Here is a 16,357-nt window from a genome sequence, read left to right on the forward strand (position 1 = left end):
AAGTTCAAGACCCAGATGACTTCACTACTGAATTCTACAAAACAATTAAGATAAAAATAATATCAATTCTCTAGAATATTTTCTAGATAATGAAGCAAAGGGAAAAATTCTCTGATTTTAGGATATTTTATCACCCAAATATTCAAATCAGAAAAAGTCATTACGAGAAAAAAAAGATCATGGTAATGTCTCTCGTTAATGTAGATGCAAAAATCTTGAACAAAATATTAGAAAATTGAGCCTAAGCCTACATTGGAATCGAACACAATAATCAATATGCATTTATTCCAGGTATGCAAGGCTGGTTAAATATGAAAAATATCTTAAATTTTATTAAACCTTAAATTCAACCAATGTAATCCCCCACATCAGTATGCTTAAAAGGAAAAATTATACTATCACATCAATTCATGCAAAAAAGAATTTGACAAAATTTTACAATAATATATGATAAAATTCTCAACAAAGTAAGAGTAGATGGGAACTTTAACTTGATAAAGAACATCTACGAATAACCTACATTTAACATTAATGGTAAGAAACTAGATATTTTCTCATTAAGATCAGGAAAAAGCCAAGATTTTGTCTACTCATCATCATACTAAAAATTCTAGGCTATGCAGTAAAAATAAAAAAAGTAACTAAAAATAGAGTTCGAAAAGGATGAAATAAACTGTCTTTGTTTGCAGATTACATGACTATCAAAATAGAAAATCATACTCATGTAACAAACCTGCACATGGACCCCCATATCTAAAATAAGTGTTGAAATGAAATAAATAAAAATTATAAACAAAGAAAATCAAAGGAATAGAACAAATTGACATTAATAGATGAGCACTTTAAGGTCATAGGATACTGTGTTAATGTACAAAAATAAACTGTTATTCTCTACAACAGAAATGAACAATTGAAAGTAGAAATTAAAAGAAATTAATAGCTTCCAAACATGAAACACTTAAGTAACAATTTAATAAAATATATAAAAGTTCTACATGTATCAAAAACTACAAATATTGTGTGACAAAAGTACAAGAAGATATAAACACAGGCATATTTATAATATGTATTGAAAGACTAATCTATTGTGAAGCTGTCAATTCTTCTCAACTTGACATTCAGATTTAATTTAATCCCAAATAAAAACCTTGCAAGCTATTTTGTAGATATTTGCAAATTCTAAAGTTTGTCAAGGTGAAAGACCTAGAATAGCCAACAAAATACTGAAGAGAAGGCATCTTCCCCTCCCCCTTTTCCCTTATCCCTTCGCTTTCACTTTAAAAAAAATACTGAAGAGAAGAAAAATGTTGGAGGATTCCCACTACCTGCTTTTGGCAATTATGAAGCTATTGTAATCCAGACAGTGTGGTATTAATGAAAGAAGAGATATATGAAGTTATAGTAATCCAGACAGTGTGATAGTGGTGGAAGAAGAGAAATATGGATCACTGATAAAATATGGAGAGCCTAGGAATAGAATTATGCAAATATAGTCAGTGGAGTTTTTACCAAGTGGTAAAATCTTCCCAATCAATGAAGCTAGGACACTGGATAACCAAATGCACAAAAAATTAATTTAGACACAAATTTTACATTTACCACAAAAATTAACTCAAAATGAATTGTAGACCTAAATATGAAATACACAACTATGAAACTTGTAGAAGTAAACATAAGAAAAATCTATAAGGCCTTGGGTTAGTGATGAGTTTTTAGATACAATATAGAAATTATATCATGATTCATGAAAGAAAAAAATTTCTGAGTTAGACTGTATTAAAATTTAAAACTTGTTGAAGAGACACTGTTATAAAATGAACAACAACACTAAAAGCTAGCCACAGAATGAGATAACATGTTGGCAAACATTTCTGATATAGGACTTGTATCACAAATATACAAATCTTTAAAACTGAGGAGTAAGAAATCAAAAAAGCAAGTGTATTATTTTATTCAAAATTTACATATATCTAATCTTAGCAGAAACTAGAATAAGGCTTGAAAAAGGGTCTATCTTATCAAGCTCATGTTATTCAAATTTATTTCTAATTGCATTTTAGATAAAACATAAAAATATAGGCAGACAAGACTAGCTATAAGGAGGGAATGGGAAAGATGAATTTAGAATTACAGATTTTGTTTCATCAATTTAGAATAATGAGATCATCAACTAATTGCATGAAGAACAAGAAGTTCACGTATAGCAAGAGAATTCCTGACCTATTGATATCTAATTATTTTAAAAATTGTATTTTAAAATATTTGTGTATGAAAAGATGCTTCACATTATATAGAGAAATATAAATTAAAAGAAAGAGAACCTATACGCCTGTTAAAATGGCCAAATCCAGAGCACTTAACAGCGTCAATTCCTGGGAATAATGTGGAGCAATAGGAATTAATTCATTGCTGGTGGAAATGCAAGATGATCCAGGTACTCGGAAAAACAATTGGGCAGTTTCTTGCAAAATTATACATACTCTCACCATACGATCCAGCATTTGCGCTCAAAATGAGTTGAAAACTCACACAAAAGTCTGCACACAGAAATTTTAAAGATCTGTTTATTTTTATTTACCGTGTCATTTTTATTATGTTCGATTTATTCCAAAAGTCAGTGTCTCTTTCCTCTTAGCCATATCAACCTTTTTTTTTTTTTTTCTGAGACGGAGTTTCGCTCTTGTTGCCCAGGTTGGAATGCAACAACGCGATCTCGGCTCACTGCAACCTTTGCCTCCCCAGTTCAAGCTATTCTCCTATCTCAGCCTCCTGAGTAGCTGGGATTATAGGCGCCTGCCACTATGCCTGGCTAATTTTTGGTATTTTTAGTAGAGACGGGGTTTCACCATGTTGGCCAGGCTGGTCTCGAACTCCTGACCTCAGGTGGTCCGCCCGCCTCGGCCTCCCAAAGTTCTGGGATTACAGGCGTGAGCCACTATGCCCAGCCTATAGTTTTTAGAAAGTTTGACCTACACATCCCCGCCCCTCCCTTTTTTTTTCTTCTTATTTTTCCCTCCTTTTAATTTTATGGAATTGTCCTCTTTTTGCATTCCTCTTGCTCTCTGATTATCCTTCTCTATTTTTGCTTAGTACTTTGATTCCAACATGCTGCAGGTTAACGTTTCCCTGGCTTCTCTTTTCTACCATCTTGCCTAACTGATTCTGTCTTGATGATGTTAAGCACGTTATAGCTTTATCTGTTTTCTTTCTGCATATGATTCTTTCCTTTTAGAATGTAAGCTTCACCAGGGCACTTGTTTTTTTTCCTCCACTCATGTTTTCCAATAACAGTGGCTGCCACTGTTATAATAGGCAATCAGCAAGTAATTGCTCATGGAATCACTTCCAAATGTACACTCCCAATGAATCTCAAAGCTTAACATGCATCAGAATCACCTAGGGTGTATGCTTCAGATGCATACTTCCAAGTCCCATGCTAAAGGATTCCTGTTCAGTGGTGCAAACCAGAAATCTTCATTTTTAACAAAGTTGCTTGGTAACAGATGCTGTTCTTGCTTTGAGAAACACTGGATTAGATATGTATTTTTAACTGCTACTAACCAAACATCTTTGGCTCGATATACTTTTAATACTTTAAAATAAATATTTGTAAATCCACACTTTTTATTTCATAAATATTTGCCTTTTTGTTTCTATGACTGTAGTCTTTCTCACTTTTCTCCCATATTAAAAAAAGGCCTCCATTTTTCTGTATACATTTAAGGTTTTGTCACTATCTCTTCCTTCCTTTGGGTATTTATTTGCCTCCACTGCCATTTTATTATTTTAGAAACTCATAGAATTTTAGAATGTTATAACTAAAGATATTATTACTACATAGACAATTTTATGTTCTTGAAGAATTTGAAAATAAAGATTAAAATAACTCACCATAAATTTAGAACAGGAGACTAAAACTAGAAATATGTAAACATTCCCTAAGTGAACAAATTAATTATTAGACTTTGGTTCCTGACCTAAAATTTTTATTTATATTATATTTAGTATTATATTACATTATATTGCACTAAATTATAGTGTATTTTATTGTTTCTATTTTGAATTTAGTCATATTACTTTTAAAATTTATTTTTAAGAAGAAAATATATACACAAGATAGTATTTTAAGTACTTTGGGGGTTATGTGGATAAAATCAGCAAAAAGATCATGTATTCATGTACTTTATAGACTTAAAGAAAAGGGAAACATAGGGAGACAACTCTGTTAAAGAGAAGAATGCTTTAAGTATTACAAAAAAAGAATAAAAAGTTCAACTTTTGTGTTTGTATGTGTATGTGTTATGTGTATATATGACATTATGCATTTGTGAAAGCATATGTTCACTGATTAACTCAATTAACAATTTGGAATAATTTGGAATAAAGAAAAAATAATCATTTAATTTCTGACAATATAATGCCTGCCTGTCATTATGGCAAATGAAACATTAAACTTATTTTTAAATTTTGAATACTCTCTTCTTTACTTTTTCTCTCTAGAAATACGAAAAATGTCTCTTCTACTTAAACAAAAAGCTTTGCACAAAATGAACAGACATGTATGTTAAATGGAGACGATGCTAGAAAAAATCAATCAATAGGAATGGAATAGCAGTAGATATTTATAGTAAAGCAGTAAAAAGATAAATTCAAATATTCTTTAACTTTAGCTCCCTTGAAGACTACTTCTATTATGAATAGCAATATATTCAGCTTAAATATGAAAAAAATGCTCAGTATGTATATCTATTTAGTTTGATTCTTACTCTGAAGCACCAGGTGCATAAGATAAAATTTTAAAATTCAAATTTTACATGATTTTAGTAATGACCAATTGTTTTGCTTTTCCATTATGCTAACTCCATTTGTCAGTTTTACCTTTGAATGGTGGAGGAAAATAAGTAAATGGTGACTTAATAGAAAATCACTTTGAAAGTGTAATAAAGTAATGTTTTTAGTCAATTTATTTTAATTTACATTTTCCTTTTCAGATATGGCTTTCTCTGTGGACATTCTAAGACATTCATCCGCCCTGCTGGGGATGTGGGAAATGAGCAGTTTTGAATAAATCTGATGTAGCAGATGTGAAATAAGGCATTCATATTTTAATCATGAAATGTACATCTTTATTGAAACAGTAGTTTTAAATCCAGTTTTTGTTAGGAAAGAAAATAATTTCTAAATTTTCTAACTTCCTTGAATGCTAGTAAACATATTATAATTAGGTCTGGTGGACCCGATCACACAGTTTTTTATAGAACATAGAGTGTAGGCTGGGCACAGTGGCTCACGCCTGTAATCCCAGCACTTTGGGAGGCCAAGGAGGGCAGATCACAAGGTCAGGAGATCAAAACCATCCTGGCTAACATGGTGAAACCCTGTCTCTACTAAACATACAAAAAATTAGCCGGGCTTTGTGGTGGGCACCCATAGTCCCAGCCATCCCGGAGGATGAGGCAAGAGAATCGTTTGAACCCGGGAGGTGGAGGTTGCAGCGAACCGAGATCACGCCACTGCACTGCAGCCAGGGCGACAGAGCAATACTCTGTCTTAAAAAAAAAAAAAAAAAAAAGGAACATAGAGTGTATATTTTCTGCAATTTCCCAAAGTAGTCAATAGACTTCAAATTTACAAACTTTTCTAAGTACTACCTTGCTAGTTTAATTTTAACTGTCTCTGTGGCATAATGTTCTATTTGTTATGGTGTTGTCCATTTCTTTATCGCTAAAAAGGCCTGACTTGAAGCTTTGTTCAGTGAGACCGAACTCAATCTTTTAGTGAAATTTGATGTCACAGCATATGTATATAACCTGCCCTTTCTGGTGCAGCTTATTATGGAGTATATCTGAAAGATAGAAATAGAATAAGAACATATTGAGACACATGTTTTGCAGCCCTCTCATTCTGTATACTTCCTAGAGAGAAGTGTTTAAAAAATTGAGAGTAATTCTAGGAAAAATGTTTGAGACACAGGAAATGAACAAATGCCAACTTGCGATTAAAATAAACCTAGTAGAAGAGCATGTTTAGGTCTTTATTTTCCTCTAGCTGCCAATGCTTGGTTTCTGGGTGTGTGAACTCCCATAGGCCCTTAGGGAGTTTATGTGAAAGTTGGTTGGGCTTGATTGATAATCTTTTCAGAAGGTGTCAAAGTGTCTCAGTGGTAATAGAACTTAAGGGCAAGCCGACTGGATGGAGAAAAATGTGAATTATATCCGAGGTGTGGGGAACTCCAGGAGCTGACATGGAGTTTCAGGGAAAATTGTTGGGCATGACTCAATTGAGAGGGAATAGACCCATGAGAATCAGATACACAGTCTTAAATCTCCAAGTTCCAGAAAGATGAACAGTGGAAGGTGGAAAAGGACCATTGCTGGATAAACCATACAAGTTCATGGGCAATATAAGCATCTAATATGGATTTAATATAGGAGGTTATATCTTTACCACCCCTACGAGCTCATGCAAGACCTTCTTCATACATGAAAACATCAGTAACAGGGAGGAAGAGAAGGAAAGCCTGGATATTTAAACAAAACAGGCTGAAATACCCAAAGAGAAAATTTAGATCTTTGAAATAAACTGTGAATGTTGGACTGATCTCAATTTATTAATTTTTTATTCTTATACTGCTCAGTAGGGTGAGGACCTCAAAAGGAGAGCCAAATTGATTATAGAAAAAAAAGTGTTACATTTTATTTTTTGTATTTTTAAATGTACTGTAATTGAATTTACAATGTTGGCATATAGTACATTCTTAACATGCATGTCTGTAACCAAATCTGTATCTATCTATCTATCTATCTATCTATCTATCTGTTAATCCATCCATTCATCCATCCATCCATCCATCCATTCATCTATCTATATTTCTCTTATGACTATATATCACTTGGGAAGAATTGAACATTTTATATGTAATGTGAATGATTTTTCTTAGATTAAAATAAAAGCTAGAATTAAAAACCTAAATAGGTCAAAATTCAAATACTGAAAACAATAAAATTAAAACATTATATTTATATATTGGAAAGCCCCTTTATTTTATTTAAAACATATTCAAACTCTATACCTCAACATTATTAACTCTTTGTTGTTCTTACAGTATATCATTATTTAGAAAATTATTTTAATAATTAAAAAATACATTTATAACAATTTTATTTAGAAAAAATGGCTCTTTTGCAGAACACTCTGGATGGTTTATAAAAAATTCTTTATTTTCCTGTAGACAAAATGTTTTAATGCTCTGTATAAAACAAACTAAATAATATAAAAATATAATTTCCTACAAAAATTTATTGCAACATATAATCAGGTTTTATATATGTAGCATGAATGACTTACATTAGCTATAATCCATTGTCTTTTGATGTTGTGCTTTTCCATATTTTACTTTATACAAATATTGACATTCAATATCATCTCTCATTTTAGGAAATAATCATATATTTTGTGGTTTCTGTGTTTTATTAATCCCTTCTTCTTGTTTATAAACTAAAAAGTCAGAATGTCTCTTGATGTTATAAAATTATTAATAACTAGTAAGAGAAGACTTTTTAATAGGATTTCATTTTTCAGAGTAACAAAATGCTTAATTTACTACTCTTGAATAATGATCTTTTGGAAAGTCATGTAGACAATGGGGTTTCATGTGTTAATTATTAAAACATAATTGCAATTAAAGTTATTGTTACATTTGAACATCATATTTATTTGTTATGTGAGAATTTTAAATAAGACTTGACATTTAATAGTTCCTGGCTATAAAACAAAGAAACAATGAATTTTAAAAATATAATTCCAATTAATGTGTCTTGAAATTCAGAGGTATGAAAATTAACATCAACAAACAGACTTTACTTTCAAAGAAAATAATAACTTTAACTTTCCACCATTAGTTAATTTCAAAATTCAAAGAAAGGCATATTTGATATAGCATATATACCTAATTTAAGATGTGTTCACTATTCTTTAAATGTTGTAATAAAGTATTTCTTTTATGGAAGGAAATTCTACATATATACTGAGGAGTTAGCAGAATATGTTCTTAGAGGGACAGGGACTTCAGTATGCAATGATACTTCCTTTCTTAGCACTGGTTCATTATTCTCAGATGGCACAGACAGGCACTCGGAAGACTTTAGTTCTTTGCCCAAAATCACACAACTGCTGTCAAAAAGAACAGAAGAGCCCAGAGCCTGGGCTTCTAACCACTGTATCTGATGATCTCCCCTTGATATCTCTTCTTTACAGAAAGAAAATGTCTACTTCCTGAGAAAGACTGATAAGAATCTAAAAGGCATAATTTTCTCATAAAAGGGTAAGCATGAGCCAAACATGAAAACAGTTCTTAATGAGGATATAGCTAACTAATAGGGCACTTGATGTGGCAATAGTCGACATCACTGAGATTATAGAGGACATGAGTCTTACTAACTAGAAATTGTCATTTTTATGGAGGATGAATTAGAAGCAGAAGAGAAACATTCTTGGACATAAATCACAGTTCATGTTCTCAAGAATTGTTAAGAGGCTGTAACAGTGAAATTCTTGAGTCTTAGGTTTTGTATATAGTTGATTTTATTACATAATCAAATTGTTTAATAAATTGATCTCACTAATTTTCACATTACTAGATAAATGTAAACATTGCTCTATATTCCTGTTATTCCTTGACTTCATAAATTTTTACATTTTGTGTCATGTAAAAGGGTATAATTTTTTAACAAGTATCTATCGAGGTTTTTTGCCCATTTTACTACTGTGGTACTTCCCTTATTCTTCTTTTCCCCTGGAGATTTTTAAAAATGTTGATTATTAATTACTTTTCAGTTATCTATTAAATAAGTAGCTTCTACCAGTTTAGGGATAGCTGTTTCACTGTTCTATGGGGTCCATTTACTTTTTTAAAAAAAGTTATTCAATTTTAATTTAATAAGACTTATTTAACTTTGTTAATACTTAGATATAATGTACTTTGTAGAAAAATTAAGACCTGGGCGATTGGAAGCTCCCAAAAAAAAGATACAAAACAGTGTGCAAATCCTGCACCAGCATTCGAGGTATCCAGGTTCTGTCATTGGGACTGACTAGGTAGCTGGCATGACCACGGTCCACCTAAGAGCCACACAGGGCAGGGAAGCCCCCACCCCCAGCCAAGGGAGGTGGTGAGTGAGTGTGCTATCCAGCCTGGGAAACCATGCTTTTTTCATGGAACTGTACAACCCATGGATTGGAAGATCCCACTCGTGAGCCCATGACGCTAGGGTCTTGGTTTCCAAACACAAAGCCGCACGGATTCTCAACAGCCAGCCACTGGCTAGAATCGGCCTAAGCCTGCCATATTACCAGGGAGAGGGGATGCCATCACCACTGCTGTCTACAGGCAATTGATTTTCAACAGGCAATTGATTTTCAACAAAGGTGCCAGAAACATACATTGGTGAAAGAACAGTCTCTTCAGTAAATGGTGCTGGGAAAACTGGACATGCATATGCAGAACAATAAAGCTAAACCCTTTCTCAAACCATATACACAAATAAACCTCAAATGGATTAACCCCAAATTATAAAACCAACAGAAAAAAAAAAAAAAAAGAAAAAACACAGGAAAATGCTTCAGGACATTGGTGTAGGCAAATGTTTTATGACTAAGACTTAAAAGAACGTAACAAAAACAAACATAGACAAATGGAGCTATATTAAACTAAAAAGCTTCTGTACAGCAAAGAAACTACTCAACAGAATTAAGAGACAACATGTAGAATGGGTTGGAAGAATTAATATTGTTAATTAGTAATTAATGATGAACTAGCTAAAAAAGGAGACAATAAAACAATTTCATGTGCTGGCCGGGCACGGTGGCTTACGCCTGTAATCCCAGCATTTTGGGAGGCTGAGGTGGGCAGATCTGTACAAGATCAGGAGCTCAAGACCAACCTGGCCAGCATGGTGAAACCCCGTCTCTACCAAAAAAGTACAAAAAGTTAGCCGGGCATGGTGGCGTGTGGCTGTAATCCCAGCTACTCCGTAGGCTGAGGCAGGAGAATTGCTTGAACCCAGGAGGCGGAGGTTGCAGTGAGCCGAGATCGTGCCACGTCACTCCAGCCTGGGTGACAGAGCAAGACTGTCTCAAAAGAAAAAGAAAAACAATCCCATTTGCAATATCTAAAAAAATAGTTAATTTGCAAACTATTAATCTAACTAGGGACTAATATCCAAAATATACAAGAAATTCAAACTCAACAGCAAAACATATTAAATAATCCCATTAAAAAGTGGGCAAAGGATTTGACTAGACATTTCTCAAAAAAAAAATCCATACAAATGGCCAATAGGTATATGAAAAATGCTCAACATCACTAATCATCAGAGAAATGCAAATCAAATCCACAATGAGATATCATCTTATCTCAGTTAGAATGACTATCATTAATAAGATAAAAAATAACAGATGCTGGCAAGGATGTGGAGAAAAGGGAATACTTACACACTGTTGGTGAGAATGTAAATTAGCACAATCATTATGAAAAAGTATAAAGTTTAAACAAAAATAAAAAGAAAACAACCAAAAATAGTACTATCATAAGAGCTACTGATTATTTATTCAAAGGAAAGGAAATCAGTATATTGAAGGGATCCCTGCACCCTCATTGTTATTGCAGCTATACTCACAATAGCCAAGACAGCAAATCAATCTAAGTGTTGATCAACAGATGAGTGGATGCAAAAAGTGGTATATATACACAATGAAATACTATTTGTCCAGAAAAAAAGAATAACATCTTGTCATTTGCAGCAGCATGGATAGCACTGAGGTCATTATATTAAGTGAAATAAGCCAGGCCTAGAAAGGCCAATATCATATATTTTCACTCATATGTGGGAGCTAAAAAGGTTGATATCATGGAGGTAGAGAGTAGAATGATGGTTATCAGAGGCTGGAAAGGGTGGAGGGATAGGGGAAGGTTGCTTAATGGGTACGAATATATAGTTAGATAGAAGGGATAAGTTCTAGTATTCAATAGCACGGTAGGGTGAATATGGTTAACAATAATTTTAGTGTATGTTTTCAGAAAAGTAGAAGAGAAGATTCTGAATGGTCATAACACTAAGAAGTAATAAATGTTTAAGGTGATTGGTACGCTAATTACACTGATTTGATCGTTACACATAGAATACATGTATCAAGATATCACACTGTATTCCATAAATATGTACAATTATTAAATATTAACTAAAAATAAAAGAAAAAAATAATGGTTATATTTAATCTTGTGGTTTGAGTGAGATACTGAGTACAGTTAAAATTTTCAAAAATCTTTTAAAATTATTATTTGACAGATTATGATAATTAAAAATAATATAATAGCAAATTATAGACACAGAAAGAATCAACTCTTTAAATTTATAATACCTATGTTCATAAGATTCTAACAATAGACACACAACTTCAATATTTCAGTATAATACTTATACAGATATGTTTGTGTGTAAATGTGTACGTGTGTGATGCCTAAATTAAAATATAAAAGTAAAAAATTAATTCAACAGACATTTAATGAACATATATGTTTCAGAATCTGAGCTTGCCATCACCTGGTTTGGAACAGATAAAAATATGTACCTCTTGACCTTAAATATTTCCAAAGTTAATGGAGGGAAATTGATTCAATATGATGAGTTCACTGGCTATTCTGCGATGTAACACATGCTAAAATAAAGGTATAAACAAAATGTTTTAGGAGTGTCAAGAATGGAATGATTACATGCCAACTCAGAAGATTATTTTTAAAATTCATAAAATATATGTCAAAGCTATTTATATAAAAGTGACTAAAAATCCAGGAATTTTGCACTTAAGTCAAAAGATAATTGATTACATTTTTTGAATATTCTAGTCTAATATTTTTCAGAAAGTCTTTCTAGCTTTAGACCCATTCAGGCATTAAAATGGAAATTTTAGCTATTGCTCAGAAATTTGAACTTAAAATTTAAACTTAGAAGAGATTTCATATTCTTATAATTTTGCTGAATATAACACATTTGTTCTGAACACCTTCTAACAGAAAGACTTCTTCATTTATACTTTATTTACCACACAGGGAATTTGTTTTATAAAACACATTTACACACATGTAAATGATTTACATATAGTCATGCATATATCCAAATAAAATTATTTTCTTTTGCCTCACACATAAATGGAAAATATTATTTAATAAATAATACAAAGCTCTGAGGATTTATCTTGAAAATAAATAAAATGATAGTTTAATAAATTATTAAATAAATAATAAACAATAATATAATTATTATTTATAATTAATAAATATGATAATTAATAAATAATAATCATTTAATTAATATATAAATATAGGAACCATGGTGCATATAAAAGTAAACCCAGACATCTTATTTACTAGGAATATAATATTACTGCTATATTTATGATTAATATTTAAATATAATCACTATATGCTAAATACCATATGAATAATGTAGATTTTCATGAAATCGAACAGGATGAGTTGGTTTGTGATTGGGAGTAAGAGAAAGTTCATATACTGGAGCAAGGCCTTAGAAGGTAGATAAGACCTTTCTACAGATTGGCTGCCTAGGTAAGTAGATTGTAAGATGGATACCTGCAAGAAGAATTTTAGGGACTGCTATTGGAATTATTATTAAGGAAGCAGGCTTACACAGTGGGAGAATTAAGGCTGCCACATTTCAAGAAACCATCAACCAAAGTCAAGGAGATCTTGGGGCTGGTATAGCCCTTCATATTTTTTGTTGCTGTTGTTTTGAGACAGAACTTTGCTCTTGTCGCCCAGGCTGGAGCTCAGTGGCACAATCTTGGTTCACTACATCCACTGCCTCCTGAGTTCAAGCAATTCTCCTGCCTCAGCCTCCCAAGTAGCTGGGATTACAGGAGCCCACCACCACGTCCGGCTGAACTTTGGGAGGCCGAGGCGGGAGGATCATTTGAGGTCAGGAGTTCCAGACCATCCTGGCCAACATACTGAAAGCCCTTCATTGTTATCATGAGATGAGGCAATAAGCCAGAGAATTTACACTTACTTGTTGATGAGTTCCTGGATGTGGGCTACCCCAAGAAGGAGTCATAATCATGGGCATGGCAACTCAGACAATTATGAAGGCTTACAGCTTCTGTTTTCTTACTTTCAACAGCTAGGGCAATACATACTTTAGTCCAAAGAGGGAATATGGATGGCACACATAAGAGCAGCCATTGTAGACTTTAACAACCAGAAATAGTAGGAAACGCAATTCCAGTAAATGCAAACAGCATTAACGTATGTTTCATATATGTAGGAAAGTGCAGATTAGTTTCTGGTTTGCCCGTAGCTTAGAAAGGAGCAAAGAGAACAAAAGTCTAGAAAAGTAATTTTGACCACATTGAGACCCTGGAATATTATTTTTAGGTCTTTGAATCTTGTTTTGAAGACACTTTGTTAGTATAACATTTGCATGGTTATTTAGAGAAGTTGATGAATGGGAGCTAGAATGAGAACTTGAAATGGACACAAAGTGCCTATGGTATTGAAGTATTCCAGGTGGGAGGTAATGAGAATACTTTGTGTATTATCAGTAGATATGAATGGAAAGTAGCAGATTCCGAATAAAATTCATAAATAATACCAGCAAAAAATTCATAAGAGGTTACTGGATACTAAGCATTTTACATGAATCATTTTATTTGCGCTTCATAATAATGCCAAAAGAAAAATGCTATTATTATTGTTCACATTTTACAGAAGAGAATTCTGAAAAACAGGCTGTTTAAGTAACACAAAGTAAGGTCACATAACTTGTAAGTGGTTGTACCTGCATTCAAACATAGGCGATTGACTCCAGAGTTAGCGTGTGTGTGTGTGTGTGTGTGTGTGTGTGTGTGTGTGTGTGTTGACGAATTCTCAGACTTGGTAACTAACAGAGTAATAATAATGTGGGAAAAAGAAAGAAGTTTCCTTAAGTTCCACACTAGAGTGGCAAATGATATTGTTAAGAAAATTAAAATTATAAGAATAAGACAAGGTTTAAGGATAAAAGTATGAGTTTTGTTTTGATCACATACATATGATCTAAACATATATATATAAAATATATATATTTGACAATTCATCTAGGTAAAAAAGAAATATAATACAAAAGAGAAGTTGAGATTACAGTGTAAATTTTCAAAGTTTGCTTATCAGAGATACACTGTCGGCGTTAAGATACTACAGAACACGAATAATTTTACATACAGTCCTGGAAATTTGATCAGTCATAATATTCCAAAATAAATAAATATTAGCATCCTTAGATGCTAATTTACTACTGTTTCATGTGCTATGTTTTCTTTCATTTTATTTTCAGAGTTATCTTACCTGTACTACTTGATTCATGATATCTTCTAATTAGACAAGTAATCATCTATTCTGATTTTACTTTGCTTGGCCACCTTTTACATTAGGGGGTATACATTGCTCACTTACAGCTTTCAGAAGCTTCAGGAATGAACATGACCACATTTTCCCTGTATACTTATACTCTCAAGTAATAAAGATATGTAAACCTTTGAGAGTTATGCAGGAAGAAAGGAATAACCTCATCTTTACCCACACCCACCATGATTTGTTCATAGTTGCTCCTCATGTTTTCACCTGATTAATACCTATTATTTGCTTCTTCAGGAGTGCAAATATAACCCACATAACAATTTGGTGCTTAGTATTAATTTTTTCATAGAATTGTTTAATGCCTTTAAGAGATAGTAATTTAAAAGCAAACACATTTAATTTGAAGAAGTTTTACTTTATTAAGGGAGAAATTTTGTTGGAATGCTTGCAACTGGACACTTAGCAGTATCAGACAAGCTTGCATGACTGTAAACTGCAGAATTTATACAAAAAAGCCATTAAGTTTATCTAAATTATGACATGGATTCTAACCACGCAGAATAAGGAAGAAAACTCTTGTTGAGGCTCAGGAGTAAGAGGAAAGGATTAGAGATCAGAAGTGATTGTTTCGCTTTTCTCTTGTCAAAACCCCAGTGAGATGGAGATAGAAACTCAGCTTGGCATAGAGGAATCTGGCCACATTTTGCCTGGTGCTCTTCTCCTCCAGCATATCCTGTGGGTTCTAAAATATTTCAGATGATCAATGTGTTGGTCAGAGTGTCATGTCCAACATAACATAAGAATCCATTATAGTATAAGCACAATAGCAAAAGTAAGGTGATTAAGCATATTGAATGAGCAGGGTGGGTGATAAAAGGTGAATGTTAAATTTCTTGTAAAATTTTGACTTTATTACTATAGAGGCAATGAGAAGTTAAAGTCTGTATATATAGTAGTCTTATGATCTCTTTTACTTCCTATACAAAGCACTCTAGTGGCTATAGACAGAAACTATGGAGATGGTAGTGGAGACTGAGACTTGTAAAGGGGAGACTAGCTACTCGTCTGCCACAGTAGTTCATGCCAAAAATGAGAATAGCTTTAACTAGGTTTGAATAAAGACATTGTGGGAGGTAATCAGATACATGAATTATTTTAGAGGTAAAATTTAAAAGACAAGTAATGAAATCGTGGTGAGCTATAGAGAAAAGAAGGAAGGTAGATCATACCAAAGTTTTAAGTCCAAGCTTCTGAGTGGGTGGTGGTAAAATGTGTTGAGATGGATTCATAAAGGTATCAGAGTTTATGCTACTAAATATCTAAATTCAATAACTCATCTCTTTGCCTTATTTTCATGCCTATCCAGCTATCTCCTAGTGATCATTTTTCTTCCCTTGTAGCTTGTCTATAGGGGAAATAAATTAATGGTTAGACAAACACAAATGTCTGACCTACCTCCCGTAATATCCTCACTGCAAATTAATTAATTGCCTTTCTGGACTACATACTTTGTGTTTTGTGAGTTAATCAGTGAAGGTTATCTTTTAAAATTCTAATCAACAGTGTGAACTAACAAGTCTTATAGTATAGACTCCTTAGATAATACAGAAAATTTAAAAATACCTTGGTGAACTAACTACCAAGTGGAAAAACCCTACACTACCATTCTCTTTCCATTCAATTTTCCATATCCGTCTATCTTCAATAGACTATACAAGAAATATGAAATTCATATTTCTGATCAATGAGAACCTTTAACATCTTTTTGCAGAAACTAATGCAGAGCGCACTCAACTGACACAACAAATATAGCATTTGGAAAGAAATATCAAAATTAATCTGAATTTCCCCAAGGTCTATAAATTCTTGATGACACATTGCACTATTTTTTTCCACTGGAGAATTAGTTGTCTTACACTCAGACCCATTATGTCTCCTCTTTCTCTCTTA

General features: G+C 32.8%; 1 long non-coding RNA gene across 1 annotated transcript in view; it reads left to right on the plus strand.

Annotated features, from left to right (window-relative positions):
- The window catches only part of LINC02335 (long intergenic non-protein coding RNA 2335), a 128,930-nt gene that overhangs the window by 44,707 nt on the left and 67,866 nt on the right, over positions 1–16,357 (plus strand). The window contains exon 3 of the long non-coding RNA NR_186625.1: positions 8,257–8,323. This is a non-coding gene — a long non-coding RNA (long intergenic non-protein coding RNA 2335). The remainder of the gene's footprint in view (positions 1–8,256; positions 8,324–16,357) is intronic.

This window comes from Homo sapiens, chromosome 13 (genome assembly GCF_000001405.40).
Source record: "Homo sapiens chromosome 13, GRCh38.p14 Primary Assembly".
NCBI lineage: Eukaryota > Metazoa > Chordata > Mammalia > Primates > Hominidae > Homo > Homo sapiens.